Genomic DNA, 16684 nt, shown 5'->3' on the forward strand with positions numbered 1-16684 from the left:
TAACTGAGCACCAGAACAGACTCCAGCCACCACCAACCTCCAGATCTCTTGTTACAGAAGAAAAATGAATGGCAGTTATTAAGCCACTGTGGCTTGTGCTCTCTGATATCTGTCGCAGGAGTGTTCCTAGCTATTTCCATGTCACTGTTTGCCCTCAGCTTGTTCTCTCCTGGGTCTCAGAGGAAGAGGAACCCCTGGGAAATTGGTGGGCTGAGTGAGGGAGTGGACTCATGCCTTTTAGGACCATCTCAACACAGCAGCCAAGCCTGTGTCATCCAGAGAAAGACCTTCTACCCCACGCCCCACTCCACCCCCACACGGCCACCCAAATGCTCCCAGTGCCAGAGACTGAGAAGCACAGAGGAAAACTGAAAGCTTTATCCATATTCAGCCTTGATTCCACAGCTCCGCAGTGTCAGGCTCCATGCCAAGTCATGGGATCCTCACAGCAACCATTGCACAGATGAGAAGACGGAGGGCAAAGGGTTGTCCAAGGATACAGAACGGTGGTGAAGGGCAGCTCGGGGCCGACCCCAGGAGTGTCTGACTCCAGGGTCACACTGTGCTGTCCTCCCTCCTCCAAAACCTATTTCCCCGAAACCCTAGAAGCCTCTGGGCATGTGGAATCCATTGCTCCTTCTCCCTCGAAGGCCCGCTCTCTGCACCCCAACAGGGTAGGGCAGGAAGCACCTGGAAGCTTCCAGTGGATGCCATGTGACCTGAAGACCAACTGCAGAGATTCAGGAGGTGGCTGGAGGGAGGGGGCACCAGATAGGGCTGAGCTCATCAGACTGCAGAGTCCTTGCTCCCAGCGGGGCATTCATAGGTGCCCCATAAACGCACACAGGATAGAATGAGAAACAGCTTATCACTGTCCATGTGACCTCCTAGGACAACTCACAGGGGGGCTCAAGTCATGGAAATTATATATACTCCATGGGAGACCCAGAAAAGGGTTATATAGCCATCAAAACTCTCCTATTTTCAAAGAGCATTTTAAGATACAGGAAAAATAATTTTTCAATAGTGTTAGATTAAAATAAAAATTGAGATCCAATCGTAAGTATACAATATTATTCCAATTTTGTGCTATTTAGACTTAATATATATAGAAAAGGATGCAAAAGATAAAAAAAGAAAATCTTAACTGCAGCCATCTTTTGAGATAGGATCAAGGACCAATTTTGATTGCATTTTTATATTCCTTTGTATTTCTCTGAATTTTCCAAACTCTCTATCATGAGCATGGAGTACTTTAAATTAGAAAAAAATACTTGTTGTAATATAACCGCAAGGGGCAGGGGAGCTTGGCGCGGCCGCATGGCTGGTGCCGCCTCACTTTCCTGACAATGCGTTCACTTAGGAACCTGTTCTTAACCCTCCTTGCCTCTAGCTTCATCCTAGGCTGCAGGACAGACAGACGGACCTGCCCAGCATGCAGTTTCCCAGGGGCAGCCGTGTGTGTGCGCGTTAGGACCCATTGTTTCAATACATGCCCTAGGGTGTTCTGGAATTCCATAGCTGTGCCTTAGGACCTGACGCTTCAAAGAACAATTTTAATTGAAATGGTAATGATGAAATTTCTTCTCCCTGAAGATGGCCTGTGCATTGTAAACACCGCGTCCCCTTGTCTGGAAGCTGCCCCGTAGGAAACGGTTGGACACAAATCCTTGCTAATGAGAGCTGGCCCCTGCCTGGGACCCTCCGGCTCCCGTCTGCAGACACCAAGCTGCCGCCAGAACCAAAGGCCTTGCCAAGGTGCCTTTTTCTGGACACGCCGGCAGGGTATTGTCACCCTGGCTGCACCCAGAAGTGACTCTCGCATCTGAGTACCAGCCAGGAAGCCGTTCTCCACGCAACCTGGCACCATCCGCTCGCCTCCAAGAAACCCAGCCAAGATATTTTTACGGTGGGGATGCGGTTGAAGGCATTTGTAGTTTTCCCACTGGGAAATCTGTGGTCGGTGCCGCCTCTTGAGGGGCCTCAGAGCCTCAGGGCCGAAAGGACAGACAGGAAAAGAAGATCCCAGGCCCAGTCCTCTGCCTCCAGGGCCTCCCAGGCAGGAGGAGTCCACAACAGAGGCTCCTTCACTGCTTCAAAGGGTAAGAATTCAGGGCAAGGAAACTAAAGCAGAGAGAGAGGCTAGTAGGAGGGCCATATGCCCCCGGGGGATGTCCCAACAGAGATTAGAGACCTCCCTTCGAAAAATCTCACTGCTCCTCTGAGATGTGTGAGCTCCGGGCCCTGCCTGCACTTTCCTGGGAGAGGGAGCATGGGTGCGGTGGACAGACGGCTCCAGCCTTTAGCTTCCGCTTAGAATCATCCGCTGCAGAGAGCCGCCCTCAGAGGGGACCAGGGAACATCCCTGAGTGGGCACCCAGGGTGGGGACAGGTCTGTCCTCCAGGGACATCTGAACTTAACCCAATAAGACATCTTCCCAGGAAGCCTTCTGTGCTTCTCTACAAAATTAAACTCCCGAGTCACTCCCACACTCAACCAATCCTAGAAGGAAACTTTCACACCCCCCATGCTGCCAGGCGTCCCAGGGCTGATGGGGCTGAGCCTGCTGCCCTGATAAGACAGAAGACTCCAGGGATCCCTGGCAGCCGGTGGGAAAGGAAGGGGCCCATCAGGTCCCAAAGGTAGTTTTTGGCCACATTGGTACCACGCGGGTAACAATTCCTGTCCTATAACTCGGTTTCCCCACTGGGCATTTAAAGTTCCTGTAGTGGACCTGGCCTGTAGGAAGCATTCAATAGACAGAAGCCTCAAGGATGGCTGTCACCAGCCTAAGGCCGCTCACCCTCCAGCACCGTGCGTCACACACCTACTCCAGGCAGTCGTCCACGCTTGCATGTATTCATTCAACAAACAAGTGGCGGACTCATTCCGTGCCTGGCTCTGTGCCAGGGGACAGTAGTGAGAAAGAGCAGATGCGGTCTGGCTCCCACAATGGGACCCTGGAGCCCCGGCTCCCATCTTCTCCAGCACCGCCGTTCCCTCCGTGGCTCCTTCCTGTCTTCCTAGATCCTGAGAACCCCACTCAGAGCCCAGGGGCAGGACGGCAGTGCAGGAAGACTCCTCTGTCTCTAGGTTCTGACCCACAGGATTCGTGAAGGGAATCCTGAAGGCACAGTGACAGGTCACTGAAGGAGGAACGCTCATGGGCAAGGGGATGTGTCAGTGCCCCTGAGAGAAACCATGGGAGCAGCCGCCTGGTGTGGGTCAGGAGACGGAGCTCTAGTCCTGACATCGCTGACGATTAGACTTGAGGCCCTCATCATGCCCCTTCTCTGAGCCTCAGTTTTACCACCTATAAAGTGAGAGACAGTGCTGGACAGACGGACACTCAGCCCTTTCCAGGCCAGACCCTCTGAAAGCCACACAGGCAGGTGGGGGCAGGGGTTTCTCCCAGGAGTTTAAGGAGAAGCACTCCAAAAAAGTGAGCCACCAAGAGCGGTGTCCAAGATTTATTTCTTAAGCAGAATCCCTTTTAATTCCTCTATGAAAATGAGTGGCTCTCTGCATTCCAGGCTGTGCCAGGCTGTCCTATCCATCAGCCGGCTGTGCTGCACCAGTGCCACCCAGCACTAATTCACAGGAGGGGAGCTTAGGGCAGCCACTCTGCAGGGTGATCCATCAAGGTTCCCTCCTGTACCAGAGCTCTTGGCAGCCGGCGGGCACCACAGCAGTGGCAGGAGGCCCAAGTGATGAATGGCCCGCAGACCATACCCCACACCCCTCTACCCCACTTAGAGCTGGGCTTGACAGGACCCCATCCCACTGTGGCTTTCCAGCTGTCCCCAACACTGAGGACTGGGCTGTGGACTCCAGGCCTGCACAGAGCCAGGTGGGAACACACCTGCACATCCACAGGGCTGTCAGGAAGCAGCTGAGGCTGGAGCCGAGAGCACAGGAAACATCAGGAGAGGAGGGAAGAGAAGACAGAGTGCATCATGGCAGGCCTGCCAGGCCCTTAGAAGGATCTGGCTTTTGGTCCTAGGGAGATGGGACACCACTGGAGGCTTCTGAGCTGAGGAATGACGTGATCTGATTGATATTTTAGAGGGTAGCTCTGAGCCCTGCACAGAACACACCCCTGCTGGGAGGCCGGGGAGGAGTCGGTGCAGAATCCACATGAGAGGTAGGATGGTGTAGACAAGGAGGCAGCACTGCTTTTTGGAGGCAGCGTTGGTCAGGTGTACTGAACGACAGGCCATGGGGTACCCGAGAAACAGGGACGGGGTGGCTCCCAGGTGCTGGCCTAAGGAGAAAGGTGGCATTTGTTGTCATGGAAAAGGCATGAGAGAACGGGTATGAAAGAGGATGTCAAGTATGATTGATATGGTTTGGATCTGTGTCCTCACCAAATCTCACATCGAATTATAATCTCCAGTGTTGGAGGTGGGGCCAGGTGGGAGGCGACTGGATCACGGAGGCGGAAGTCTCACGAGTGGTTTAGCACCATCCTCTTGGTGCTGTTCTCGTGATAGAGTTCTCATGAGATCTGGTTGTTTAAAAGTGTGTAGCACCTATGTCCCTCTCTCTTGCTCCTCCTCTGGTCATGTAAGATGAGCCTGCTTCCCTTTAGCCTTCCGCCATGATTGTAAGTTTCCTGAGGCCTTCCAAGAAGCTGAGCAGATGCTAGCATCATGCTTCCTGTGTAGCCTGTAGAACCATCATCTACTTAAACCTCTCTTCTTTATAAATTACCCAGTCTCAGGTATTTCTTTATAGCAGAATGAGAATGGACTAATACAGAAAATTGGTACCAGGAATGGGGCATTGCTATAAAGATACCCAAATATGTGGAAGCAGCTTTGGAACTGGGTAACAGACACACAGACAGAGGTTGGAAGAATGTGGAGAGATCAGAAAAAGATAGGAAGATGAGGGAAAATTTGGAATTTTCTAGATAATTATTTAATGATTGTGACCAAAATGCTGATAGTGATATGGAAAGTGAAGTCCAGACTGAGGAGGTCTCAGATGGAAATTAGGAACTTATTGGGAACTAGAGTAAAGGTCACTTTTGCTATGCTTTAGCAAAGAGCCTGGCTGCATTATGCACCTGCTCGAGGTATCTGTAGAACTTTGAACTTGAGAGTGACTATTTAGGGTATCTGATGAAAGAAATGTCTAAGCAGCAAAGAGTTCAAGATATATGCTGGCTGCTTCTAACAGCCTATGTTCATTTGCTTGAGCAAAGAAATGACCTAACCCTGGAACATATTTTTAAAAGAGAAGCAAAGCATAAAAGTTTGGAAAATTTGCAGCCTGGCCATGTGGTAGGAAAGAAAAACTTGTTTTCAAAGGAGGAACTCCAGCAGGCTGCAGAAATTTGCCTAAGTAAAAAGAAGACAAGGGCTGATAGCCAAGACAATGGGGGAAGGGCCTCGAAGCCACTTCAGAGACCTTCATGGCTCACCCTGTGCAGCCTTGGGACACTGCTTTCTGAATTCCAGATACTCCAGCTCCAGCTATGGCTAAAAGGGGCCCAGGTACAGCTCATGTTGCTGCTTCAGAGGATGCAAACTGTAGGCCCTGGCAGCTTTGACATGGTGTTAAACCTGCAGTTGCACAGAGTGCAAGAGTTGAATCTTGGGAACCTCCACCAAGATTTCAGAGATGTATGGAAAAGCCTGGATGCCCAGACAGAAGCCTGCTGTAGGGGTAGAACCCTCATAGAGAACCTCTACTAGGGCAGTGCAGAGGGGAAGTATACAGTTAGAGGCCCCACACAGAGTCTCCACTAGGGCACAGCCTAGTGGAACTGCGGGAAGGGGAGCTACCATCCTCCAGACTCCAGAATGGTAGAGCCACCAACAGCTTGCACCATGCACCTAGAAAAGCTGTAGGCACTCAACGCTAGCCCTTGAGGGCAGCTGCAGTGGCTAAATCCTGCAAAGCCACAGAGGTGAAGCTGCCCAAGGCCTTGGGAGCTCATCCCTTGCATTGATGTGGCCTGGATGTGAGACACTGAGTCAAATGAGATTATTTTGGAGCTTTAAGGTTTAATGACTGCCCTGCGGGGTTTCGGACTTGATTGGGGCCTGTAGTCCCTCTATTTTGGCTGATTTCTTCCTTTTGGAATGAGAGTATTTACCCAATGTGATTTCTTCCTTTTGGAATGAGAGTATTTACCCAATGTCTGTACCCCACCCCCCTCATTGTATATTGGGAGTAACTAACTTGTTTTTTTTATTTTACAGGCTCGTAGGTGGCAGGGACTAGTCTTGTCTCAGATGAGATTTTGGACTTTGGACTTTTGAGTTAATGCTGGAATGAGTTAAGACTTTGGGGAAGGCATTATTGTATTTTGCAATGTGAGAAGGTCATGAGATTTGGAATGGGTCAGGAGTGGAATTATATGGTTTGAATCTGTGTCCCCACAAAATCTCATGTCCAACTGTAATATCCAATGTTGGGGGTGGAGCCTGGTGGGAGTGATTGGGTCATGGGGCTGCATCCTTCATGAATGGTTTAGCACCATCACCTTGGTGCTGTTCTCATGTTAGAGTTATCACACTATCTAGTTATTTAAAAGTGTGTAGCACCTGCCTTCTCTCTCTCTTGCTCCTGCTCCAGCCATGTCAGACAAGCCTGCTTCCCCTTCATCTTCCTCCCTGATTGTAAGTCTCCTGAGGACTCCCTAGAAATCAAGTATATGCCAGCATCATGTTTCCTGTACAGCCTGTGAAACCATAAGCCAATTAAACCTATTTTCTTTATAAATTACCCAGCCCCAGGTATTTCTTCACAGAAGCATGAGAATGGAATAATACAGTAGGTTAGTGCACACGCTGATTTGAGTATATGATTTGAAACTCTGCTGCAGGGTAATAATGAGAAGCATACCGACTCTTAGCTCACATTATTATTATTACTTAAAAATTTCTACAGACAAAACATCAGTTGTGGCCTCTGCTCTAGCAAGATTATTCCCACCTCTTTTCCCGTGGGGTGTCACTGCTGTGAGGTCTCTGGTAGCCTGTGGAGCACATGGTTGGGTAGCCAAGTCAAAGTTCAAGAGAGTTCTGGGCTGGACGTTCCATTTAGGTGTCATTCCACATAGATGCTATTTTGAACCATAAATCAATATCATAACCAAGTGCTCAAGTGTAAATAGAGACCCGAGGAGTGAGCCCAGGGGTCTGAAAAATTAGGAGGAACAGCATAGGGGACTGAGAAGGAGTCAATAAAGTGAGAGGAAACCCAGAAAAGCTTGACGTCTAAGCGGTATTGCGAGTGACCAAATAGCTCATATGAACCTTCATAGTCCTATGAACAGTGGAAATAATAATTGGATACATAGCATCATGGGTGTCAGTAGTGGTCTTGAGAAGTCTGTTCTGGTGACATTGTAGGGACAAAAGTCTGATTTGAGATGACTAAAGAGAGAATAGGAAAGAAACAGGAGACATCAAGTCTGGACAACAAAGAGCAGATAATTGGAGTTGAAGTCGGAGAGGAATGCGTGGTCAGATATTTCTGTTTCTAAGGTGAGAGATACTTAGCACAATGGTTTATTACAGGGAAAAATTGATGAACAGGAGAGAGAAGATGGGACCATTGAAGCAACAGTCTTGAGTAGGCAAGAAAGGATAAGATTTGTGGATACATTGAGAGGTTGCCCTTAGTAGGCACACGAAGAAGGGAAAGAAGTGGAGTGATGAAGCACAGATGCAGGAAGATGGGGTGAGCTGGCAGCTCAGAGAGCTCCCTTCTTTTTGCTGCTGCTCATAGGCAAAGAGACTGTCTGCACAGTGTTGGGGAGGTATTAAAGGTTTGCAGAGGAGACGGGATGAATCTAGGAGATGCTAGAAAGCATGGATTAAATGAGTATAGTGTGACTATGGGCAGAAGCAAGGGGCCATGGGAAGTTAGTGCTCATGAACTTCAAATAGGACTAATCAGCGTACAAGTGGGTGAGTTATTCTTCAGCCATGGTCAGCTGTGCAGGTAAAGGCTTGGAGACAGGGAGAGAGGGAGAGCTGGACTTAACCAGCACTGAGGTGGAGAGTGCCAGAACAGCAAGATGAAGTGAAGAGCATTACAGAATTTGAGTACACATGCAGAGGAGCTGTTATAACAAAGGACCCTGAGTAAGGAGGCAAGAAAAAGCACAGGTAAGGGAGGTGAGTGTACAGGTGGAAGCACTAATGCACTGCAGGTCCTGGTGGGGCTGAAGATGGTTGGAGTCCAGGTATGAGAGGGGTCAGCTGGATAGACCAGAGTTTGTAGTTGGAGTGTGAGAATGCTTGAACTCTATGTTATGGGGAGACATTGCAATTATTGGTAAGATAAGGTCCAGGGCTTCAAAATGGGAGTAACTGTTTGAGGTATCGTTCCATTTATCTATTGCTGTATAACAAGCCACTCCAAAACTTAGTAGCTTAAAAACAACAAGTCATTATTGTATTTCACAATTCTGTGAGTTGACTGGCCTGACGAGGCTGTTCTCACCTGGGGTCTCTCGGCCGATTGCAGCATATAATGATGGGGGCTGAAGTCAACCAGAGGCCAACATGTTGGCACCCAAGAGGCTCACTCCTATGGCTGGCAGTTGATGGTGGCTGGCAGTTAGGGGCTCAGCTGGAGCCCCTTAGTGATGTGCCTGCACTTGACCTCTCCATGAGGCCTGGGCTTCTCAGGAAATAGCAGCAAGTTTCTGAGGAGAGTGCATTCCAGAAGACCCAAGCAGAAGTTTCTAGGCTTCTTATGGCCTATCTGTGAAGGTCTCAGAACACCACTTCCACCATTTTCTCTTAACCAAGAAAGTCACTGAGATCATTCCAGATTCAAGGGAGCAGGATTAGGCTCCACTTCTTCATGCAAAGAGCATGCAATGGAAGGAATGAGTGGTGGTCATCGTTGAAGACCACACGGTCTTCCTCTGACCCTCCCTTCCTTGTGCTGAGAGTTAAAGTGCTGTATAACAATGCCCTTACTATTCTTAGAAGCTATTTAAGAAGGTCTATGAGGCATGCCTTTAAATATTTCTGAGGTTTTGACAAAAGGCCACACTCTTGGCTTACCTTGAATCCATTTCTTATTTTGAGAATCTTCCTTTGAGAGTCTTGCCAGCTAGAAAGAATGTTCATCTCTCTGTACTAGTACCTTACTAGATGTGGCAAAAATAAACCAGTTTTCACTTTCAACATTCTATCTGGAATCTCCTAAGCCATGTCAACCTAAAATAATCAAAAGGTCAGAATCTAGTTTAAAGAAATTTTTTTCAAAAACAAAGTATGTGGATGGCCCATGCAGGAAGCACAGATTCTTAAGAATGAAAGTCAGTGTTCTGAAGTGTAGATGTTTGGGATCATTTATATACACAAAGTTTAGGGAAGCTTAACAGAATTTCAACATCTTTCTAAATAAGGCTTCATGCATGGTTGCAACGATCTCATTTGCCAAGGTGGTCTTTTTCTTTCAGGAAAGCTATATTTATCACTCCACACTGACAATGTAACAGTCATGGGGTCTTTCACACCATCTGGTCTGAGCTAGATACAGGACAATAAAGAGGCAGTTAATCTATAACAAAGATCAGTGATTGGAATGGGAGCTGGAGGGAAGTCTGGTCTCTAGTCTCTCCTAGTCATTTACAGAACAAGAACAATGAGGAAGACAATTAAGCTATAGTCTAAGAAACAAAATTGCAAATATGCCACTGACTCAGTCTCCAGAGCTTACCTTTCCCCTTGGCATAATAAATTTAGAGGGTCCTGAAATTTTGTTTTATTTTACAGCCAAGTCCAACAGTTCGTTATGTATATTTTCTATTTTTCAGGTGACAATGTCAAACTTTTCAGCAGTACATGGCAGTGGTCTCCTTCTGCAGCCTCTGATAACAACTCCCTCACTGTTTTGCAAGCCTTTCCTCACAGTTCCTCGGGCTCTCTGCTGGAGGCATTAGAGGTTTGTGGAGACAATGGGATGAATCTAGAAGGGTACTAGAGAGACTAGACTAAAGTATAGTATGATTGTGAGCAGAAGAGTCCCAAACCCGGTTCCACATGTTTTAGGGTTTTGTTCCAGCAGCACTCCATTTCCAGGTGCCAACTTCTGTTCGGATTTTCTATTGCTGAATGACAAACCAAGGAAAAATTTAGTGGCTTAAAACTACTTATTATTATCTTTCACATTTCTGTGGATTGACTAGGCTCAACTGGGTGATTCTTGCTTAGGGTTTCCCATATGCTAGTGGTCAGATAGCAACTGGGATTGATTTCATATGAAGGCTCAACTATGTTGGATGACCCACATGGCAGCCATAGATACTGCTGGCTGGGAGCCCAGCTGGAGATGCAACAGAAGGTCCTCACTTGGTCTCTCCATGTGGCTTGAGCTTCTCCCAGAATGGAGGCTGCCTTCTGAGAAGAGTCATCCTGCTTTTTATTCATCAAGCAAATCACTGGGACTAGGATTCAAGGGGCAGGGAATTCAACTTCATCTCCTGATGTGAGGGGCAGCATGCTCATCCAGGGAGAGAAGCAATGGATGGTGGCATCTGTGGAGACTCTGTCCCAGATAGGATGGAGGAAAGGTCATTAGATGAGTGGAGCCCAAGGAACTGAGAGGCTGGGGTGTTGAAAGGAATATCTACATGGATATTGAATACAACAAAAATGAAGAGAAGCAGTGATGTTGGTGAGAGCAGAGAGCACATCCTTAAAGGATATATGGAGTGGCCTTGGGGTTGGTAGATCTCTGCAACAAGGACTGGGAGGGCCAGATGAGTGTCAAAGCTGAAAGCTTAGGTGAGGAGGGAGAAGGATGATCAGAAGAGAATGCCTGCCTCCAGGCCTGTGTCCTGTGGCAGAGGAAAGAGTTTCCATTTGTGGGACAGACAGGGGAAGGCTAGGGCTAGGTTTTGGTTAGTAAATACAATTAGGAGAGCATTACAAGAAGCGACTGAGGACACAGGAACTTTGCCAACAATTGACCTTGGTTTCTGTCAATGGAAGGATGTCAGGCATTGGGGAAAAGTGGGAAAAGGCATCAGGGCAGGGATAGACAGGAGATTCCTGACCTTCCTGTAGTCATGGGCATGAGCAGGGATAAGGAGCAGGGTGAGATTAGTCTCTTGGTTTCAGGGAAAATGATGGTGGAGAGATGGTGAGTGTTGAGAGGGAAGGAGAGGCAGAGTTTTGTTCAGAAGACTGGGCCCTTCTTTGCTCTTTTGGAGGGTGGCATAAATCCAGGGAAGAGGTGGCCTTATGCAGGAGCTTTCTCTCCTCTTGCTCAACAATGCTATCTTGTGTTATTCCACTGTGGCCCATGCTTGCTTGTCTCAGCTGCCCAGTGAGATATTAAGCTTCCCCTGCCATCCTCATAATGACCAGATGAATATCCTGCATGGAGCAGGCACTGCAGAAACATCAGCTGGATGGATGTGTCCCTGGGATGCCCTCAGTGAGTTCCGCTGGGAAGCAGACCTCTTTGTGAACTACAGGACGTTCCAGGGAACAGAAGCCTGTGCCAACGTTGAAAAATGGAATCCACTGAAAGAAAGACCAACCAATCTTATGAATAATCCCATTCAGAGGCAGGCATTCTGCAAGTCTCTTTGCTCTCTGGTTCCAAAGCTCATGGGTTTTGGAGAAAAGAAAACTCACTCTCTGAGAACGATGGCAGCAGCTGGGCACACTGGATGTTTGGCATAGTTCAGGACAACTTCTAGACGTTTCTCCCACCCTGGGATGCTTCATAATGTTTAAAGGATGGACTCCATGGTGCCACCAAATTCTCTGTAAACTCCCATCTCTAGAGAAGGACACATGGGGGTAGAGCAACTTGTTAACCATAAAGGATGGTTTGTCCTTGTGGTCAGGAGCACAGACTCCCTGAGTCAGTCCCAGCCCAGTGCCATTTCACATGTGTGTGACTTTGGATCAGAACCTTAGCATCCGTGCCTCAGTTTATTCACCTGAAGAATAGGGATGTGATGGTAGCACCAGCCCCAAGGTTCTTGTAAGTTAATATTTGTCAAATGTTTAGCATCAGAGTGTTATAGACGGAATACTTATATCTCCCCAAAATTCACATGTTGAAGCTGCACCCCCTCAATGTGATAGTATTAGGAGGTGGAGTCTTTGGGAGGTAAATAGTTAATGAGGTAATTGGATGATGTTGTGAGGGTGGAGCCCCCAAGATGAGATTAGTGCCCTTATAAGATGATATAAAGTCTAGAGCTTGCTCTCCACCACATGAGAACACAGAAAAAAGGCAGCCGTCTGAAAGCCAGGAAGAAAGCCCTCACCAGGAACTAAATCCGCTGGCAATTTAATCTTGGACTTGCAGTCTCAAAACTGTAAGAAGGAAATATATGTTGTTTAAGCCACCCAGGGTGTGGTATTTTGTTGTTTTGGCAGCCAGAACAGACGACAGAAAGGTTTGTGACTGTAACTAGCTGAGAAACTGAGCCAAGTAAGGTCAGATTTTACAGGGGAGGGGACCCAGGATTGTTTGGGCTTGCGGCTGACCTTGGAACAGGGACACAACCTGCAGGGGGTTGTTGTGAGAGTTCTTGAGACAGTCCTCAGGCATCTGGTCTGGCAGGATCTGCACCAGCATTCCTGCATCCACCTGCTGCAGAAATTGCCAAAGGATCCCACAAGATCTATGTTCTTGGATCATAGCTGATGCACGTTCTTTCTTTAGGAAATAAATTCAGGAATAATTTCTCCTTGTTTTTGGACTTGTCAAAATCAGGGATGACTCCACTCTTTGACCTAGGACTTTCTTTGGTTTATTTGCTTTAATCACACAGCAAAAGCCATCCATTCAACAGATGGTTATTGAGTGACCGCTATGCACCAGGCACTTTTGCAGGCTTGAAGATACAGCCCAAGACAGCAGGACAAGCTCCCTCCCCGCGGAAGAGAAACAGAAAATTAATGCATAAACAAACGATTGCCTTCAGCCACTTCAGGAAAAGGTCCCCATTGGGAAGAGACAAGGCTGAGTTGGAGAAAGGAGCTCGCTGGAAGGGCCCCTTTCTGTAAGAGGCTGAGACAAGGCTCTGAGAAGAGGGGGCTTCTGCAAAGGGTTGGGGGAAGAGTGTTTTAGGCAGAGGGAACTACCAGTCATTGCACCTTTACTGTGACTTTATTGACTCCCAAGATGACACTGGATAGCACTGGGATATTCCCTACTCTGCCTCCAGCCTCCTCCAAAGGGAGCCTTGACATGTAAGCAAGCCTGGAGCTGCTCCCTGAGACAAAGCAACTGAAGAGTGGGTTTCCTGCAACACAAAGTCCCACCCCCCAACCCCAAGCATGGTGGGACCCCGCTTCTAGGAAGGTGGTCATCTGTGCCTGACATCTTGCTGTCACTCACTCAGATGCCAAGGGGCAACATGGCCCCTGTCCTGGAATAGAAACAGAACCACATCGAGCAGGAGTCCCTACGGTCCAGCAATCTCATTGCTGGTTATATATCCAAAGAAAATAATATCAATCTGTCAAAGAGTTATCTCCACTTCCATGTTTATTGCAGCATTATTCACAATAGCCAAGATATAGAATCAACCTAAGTGTCCACCAATGAATGAATGAAGAAAATGTGGTATATTTACACAATGGAATAAAATTTAGCCATAAAAAAGAATAAAATCCTGTCATTTGTGGCAACATGGATGAACCTGGAGGACATCATGTTAAGTGAAATAAGCCAGGCACAGAAAGATAAACACCACGTGATCTCACTCATATGTGAAATCTGAAAAAGTTGATTTCATAGAGAGTAAAATAGGCATTAGCAGGGGCTGGGAGGAGTAGGAGGGAGGGGTCAAAAGGTACAAAGTTACAGTGAGATAGGAGGAATAAATTCTAGTGTTCCATTGCACAGTAGGATGACAATAGCTAACAAAAATATATTATATATTTCAAAATAGATAGAACAGAAGATTTTGAATGTTTTTACTAATTCAGGGCAGGCAAGCCCCAAAGTGGGGCTTAGCCCATGAGGATTCTTGGCTTTGCCTAGGAAAGAATTTGAGGGCAAGCTGGCGGTAGAAGAAAACAACTTTATTGAAGAGGTGTTACTGCCCTGGCAGTATTACAGCTCTGTGACTGCTCCATCAGACTAAGGCTGTCCCATAGGATAGGCAGTGTGCTGAAAGTCGCAGCTAGGGCAGTTTGCAGTCATATTTATACCTACTTTTATTTTGTTTTATTTTTATTTTTTGAGACAGTGTCTCACTCTGTCAGCCAGGCTGGAGTACAGTGGCATGATCACAGCTCACTGCAGCTTTGACCTCCCAGGCTCAAGTGACCATCCCACCTCAGCCTCTTAAGTAGCTGGGACTACAGGCGCATACCACCATGCCCAGTTCATTTTTTATATTTTTTATAGAGAAGGGGTTTCACCATGTTGCCCAGGCTGGTCTCAAACTCTTGGACTCAAGCAATCTGCCTGCCTCTGCCTCCAAAGTGCTGGGATTACAAGCATAAGCCACCACAAATGGCCCTACTTTTAACTGCTTGTAGATTAAGGGGAGGTTTAAGCAAAAATTTATAGGGAAGGAGTAGTAACTTTTGGGTCATCGGGTCATTGCCATGGAAAGGGGTGGTAACTTCCAGGGGTTGCCATGGCAATGGTAAACTGACATGGCACACTGATGGACATGGCTTATGAAAAGATGCTTCCACCTTATCCCAGTTCTGGCTAGTCCTCAGTTTGGTCCAGTACCCAAGCCTCACCTCTGGATTCAAGTTCTGCCTCCTACCTCATTACCTCTAAGAAATGATAAACATTTGAAGTGATGAATATGCTAATTACCCTAATTTGATCATTGCATAATGTATACATGTATCAAAACGTCATACCCTATCCCTTAAACATGTACAATTATTGTGTGTCAATTAAAAATCAAATAAAACTGTTTTAAAAGTTTAAGACAGAAAAATATATATTTTTTTTTTAAATCAAGTGTCCTAACCAAAAGGGAGAAAGCAGGAGTTTGGGGGAGCATTGGCCTTTGTCTCCCTACAAGAGCTTATTCTCGAGAGAAGGCTCAAAGTACTTGCTGTGATGCATCTCAGAGCCTACCAATTCCACCCAGAACTCAACAAATGAAAAAACTGTCACATGGTGTGTATGTCAGAGTCCAAGGACCCATAGGGGATTTGATTCAGTGCTCACCAGATCAAACATTGAAGCAGGCACCTCACTAGTCTTTAGCAAAACGAGTTGGCTCAGCTCATAGATTCTTGCCCAAAGGGGTCATCTTAAATTGTTTTCTTGATATGCATGTGTTGAACCATCCTTGCATCCCTGGGATGAATCCCACTTTATCATGGTAAATGACCTTTTTAATGTACTATTGGATTCAGTTTGCTAGTATTTTGTTGAGAATTTTTGCATCTATGTTCATTACAAAGATTGGCTGGTGATTTTCTCTTTTTATTGTGACCTTGTCTGGTTTTGGTGGCAGGGTAATGCTGGCCTTGAAGAATGAGTTAGGAAGAATTCCTTCCTCTTCAAACTTTTTGGAATAGTATGAGAAAAATTGGTTTTAGTTCTTTAAAAGTTTGGCAGAATTCAGCAGTGAAGGCATCTGGTCCTGGGATTTTCTTTGTCAGGAGACTTTTTGTTATTGATTCCATCTGATTACTTGATATTGGTCTGTTCAGATTTTCTGTTTCTCCTTAGTTCAATCTTGGTAGGTTATACATGTCCAGAAGTGGATCCATTTCCTTTATGTTTTTCAATTTGTTAGCCTATAGCTGTTCATTATACACTCTTATGATCTCCTGTACTTCTGGGATGTCAGTTGTAATGTCTCCATTTTTGTTTCTGACTTTATTTATTTGGATCCTCTCTCTTTTTTTCTTAGTCTAGCTAAAGTTTTGTTGATTTTGTTCATCTTTTCAAAGAGTCAACTTTTCATTTCGTTGATCTTTTATATTGCTTTTTAGTCTCAGTTTTGTTTAGCTTGGCCATGATTTTATTATTTTTTTTCCTCCACTAGTTTGGGATTTAGTTTGTTCTTGCTTTTCTAGTTTTTAAGGTGCATCACTGTGTTGTTAATTTGAAGATTTTCTACTTTTCTGATGTAGGCACTTATTGCTATAAACTTTCTTCTCAGCACTGCTTTCACTATATCTCATAGGTTTTTGTATGTTGTGTTTCTATTTTCACTTGTTTCAAGAAATTTTTTTACTTCCTTCTTAATTTTTTCATTCACCCAATCGTTGATCAGGAGCATGTTGTTTAATTTCCATGTATTTATAGGGTTTCCAAAGTTCCACTTATTATTGTTTTCTAGTTTTATTTCATTATCATCTGAAAAGATATTTGATATGATTTTTCTTTTTTTTAGAATTTGTTGAGAATTGTGTTGTGGTGTAATATATGGTCTATTCTGGAGAATGTTCCATGTGCTAATGAGAAAAATGTGTATTCTGTGGCTGTTGGATTAAATGTTCTATAAATATCTGTTAGGTCTGTTTGATCTACAGTGAAGTTTAAGTCTGATGTTTCTTTGTTGATTTTCAGTTTAGGTGATCTGCCCAATGCTGAGAGTGGGGTAAACTCCCCTAACATTATCGTATTTTGGTCTATTTCTTTCTTTAGCTCTAATCATGTTTGCTTTACATGTCTGGTTGCTCCAGTGTTGGGTGCATATATATTTACAATTGTTATGTTCTCTTGCTGAGTTGATCCCTTTAT

At 46.0% G+C, this 16684-nt stretch overlaps 2 annotated features.

The window, feature by feature from the left end:
- Window positions 2123-3035: an enhancer, noted in NCBI's record as "H3K4me1 hESC enhancer chr1:5586625-5587537 (GRCh37/hg19 assembly coordinates)". NCBI's record gives its function as "activates a minimal SCP1, AML or CMV promoter by ChIP-STARR-seq in naive H9 embryonic stem cells {active_cell/tissue: H9 hESC(naive)}" and the evidence as "EXISTENCE:reporter gene assay evidence [ECO:0000049][PMID:30033119]".
- Window positions 3642-3844: a silencer, noted in NCBI's record as "fragment chr1:5588144-5588346 (GRCh37/hg19 assembly coordinates)". NCBI's record gives its function as "represses an EF-1alpha promoter that drives an FKBP-Casp9 reporter gene in an ReSE screen in K562 erythroleukemia cells {active_cell/tissue: K562}" and the evidence as "EXISTENCE:reporter gene assay evidence [ECO:0000049][PMID:32094911]".

The sequence above is a fragment of the Homo sapiens genome, chromosome 1 (assembly GCF_000001405.40).
Source record: "Homo sapiens chromosome 1, GRCh38.p14 Primary Assembly".
NCBI lineage: Eukaryota > Metazoa > Chordata > Mammalia > Primates > Hominidae > Homo > Homo sapiens.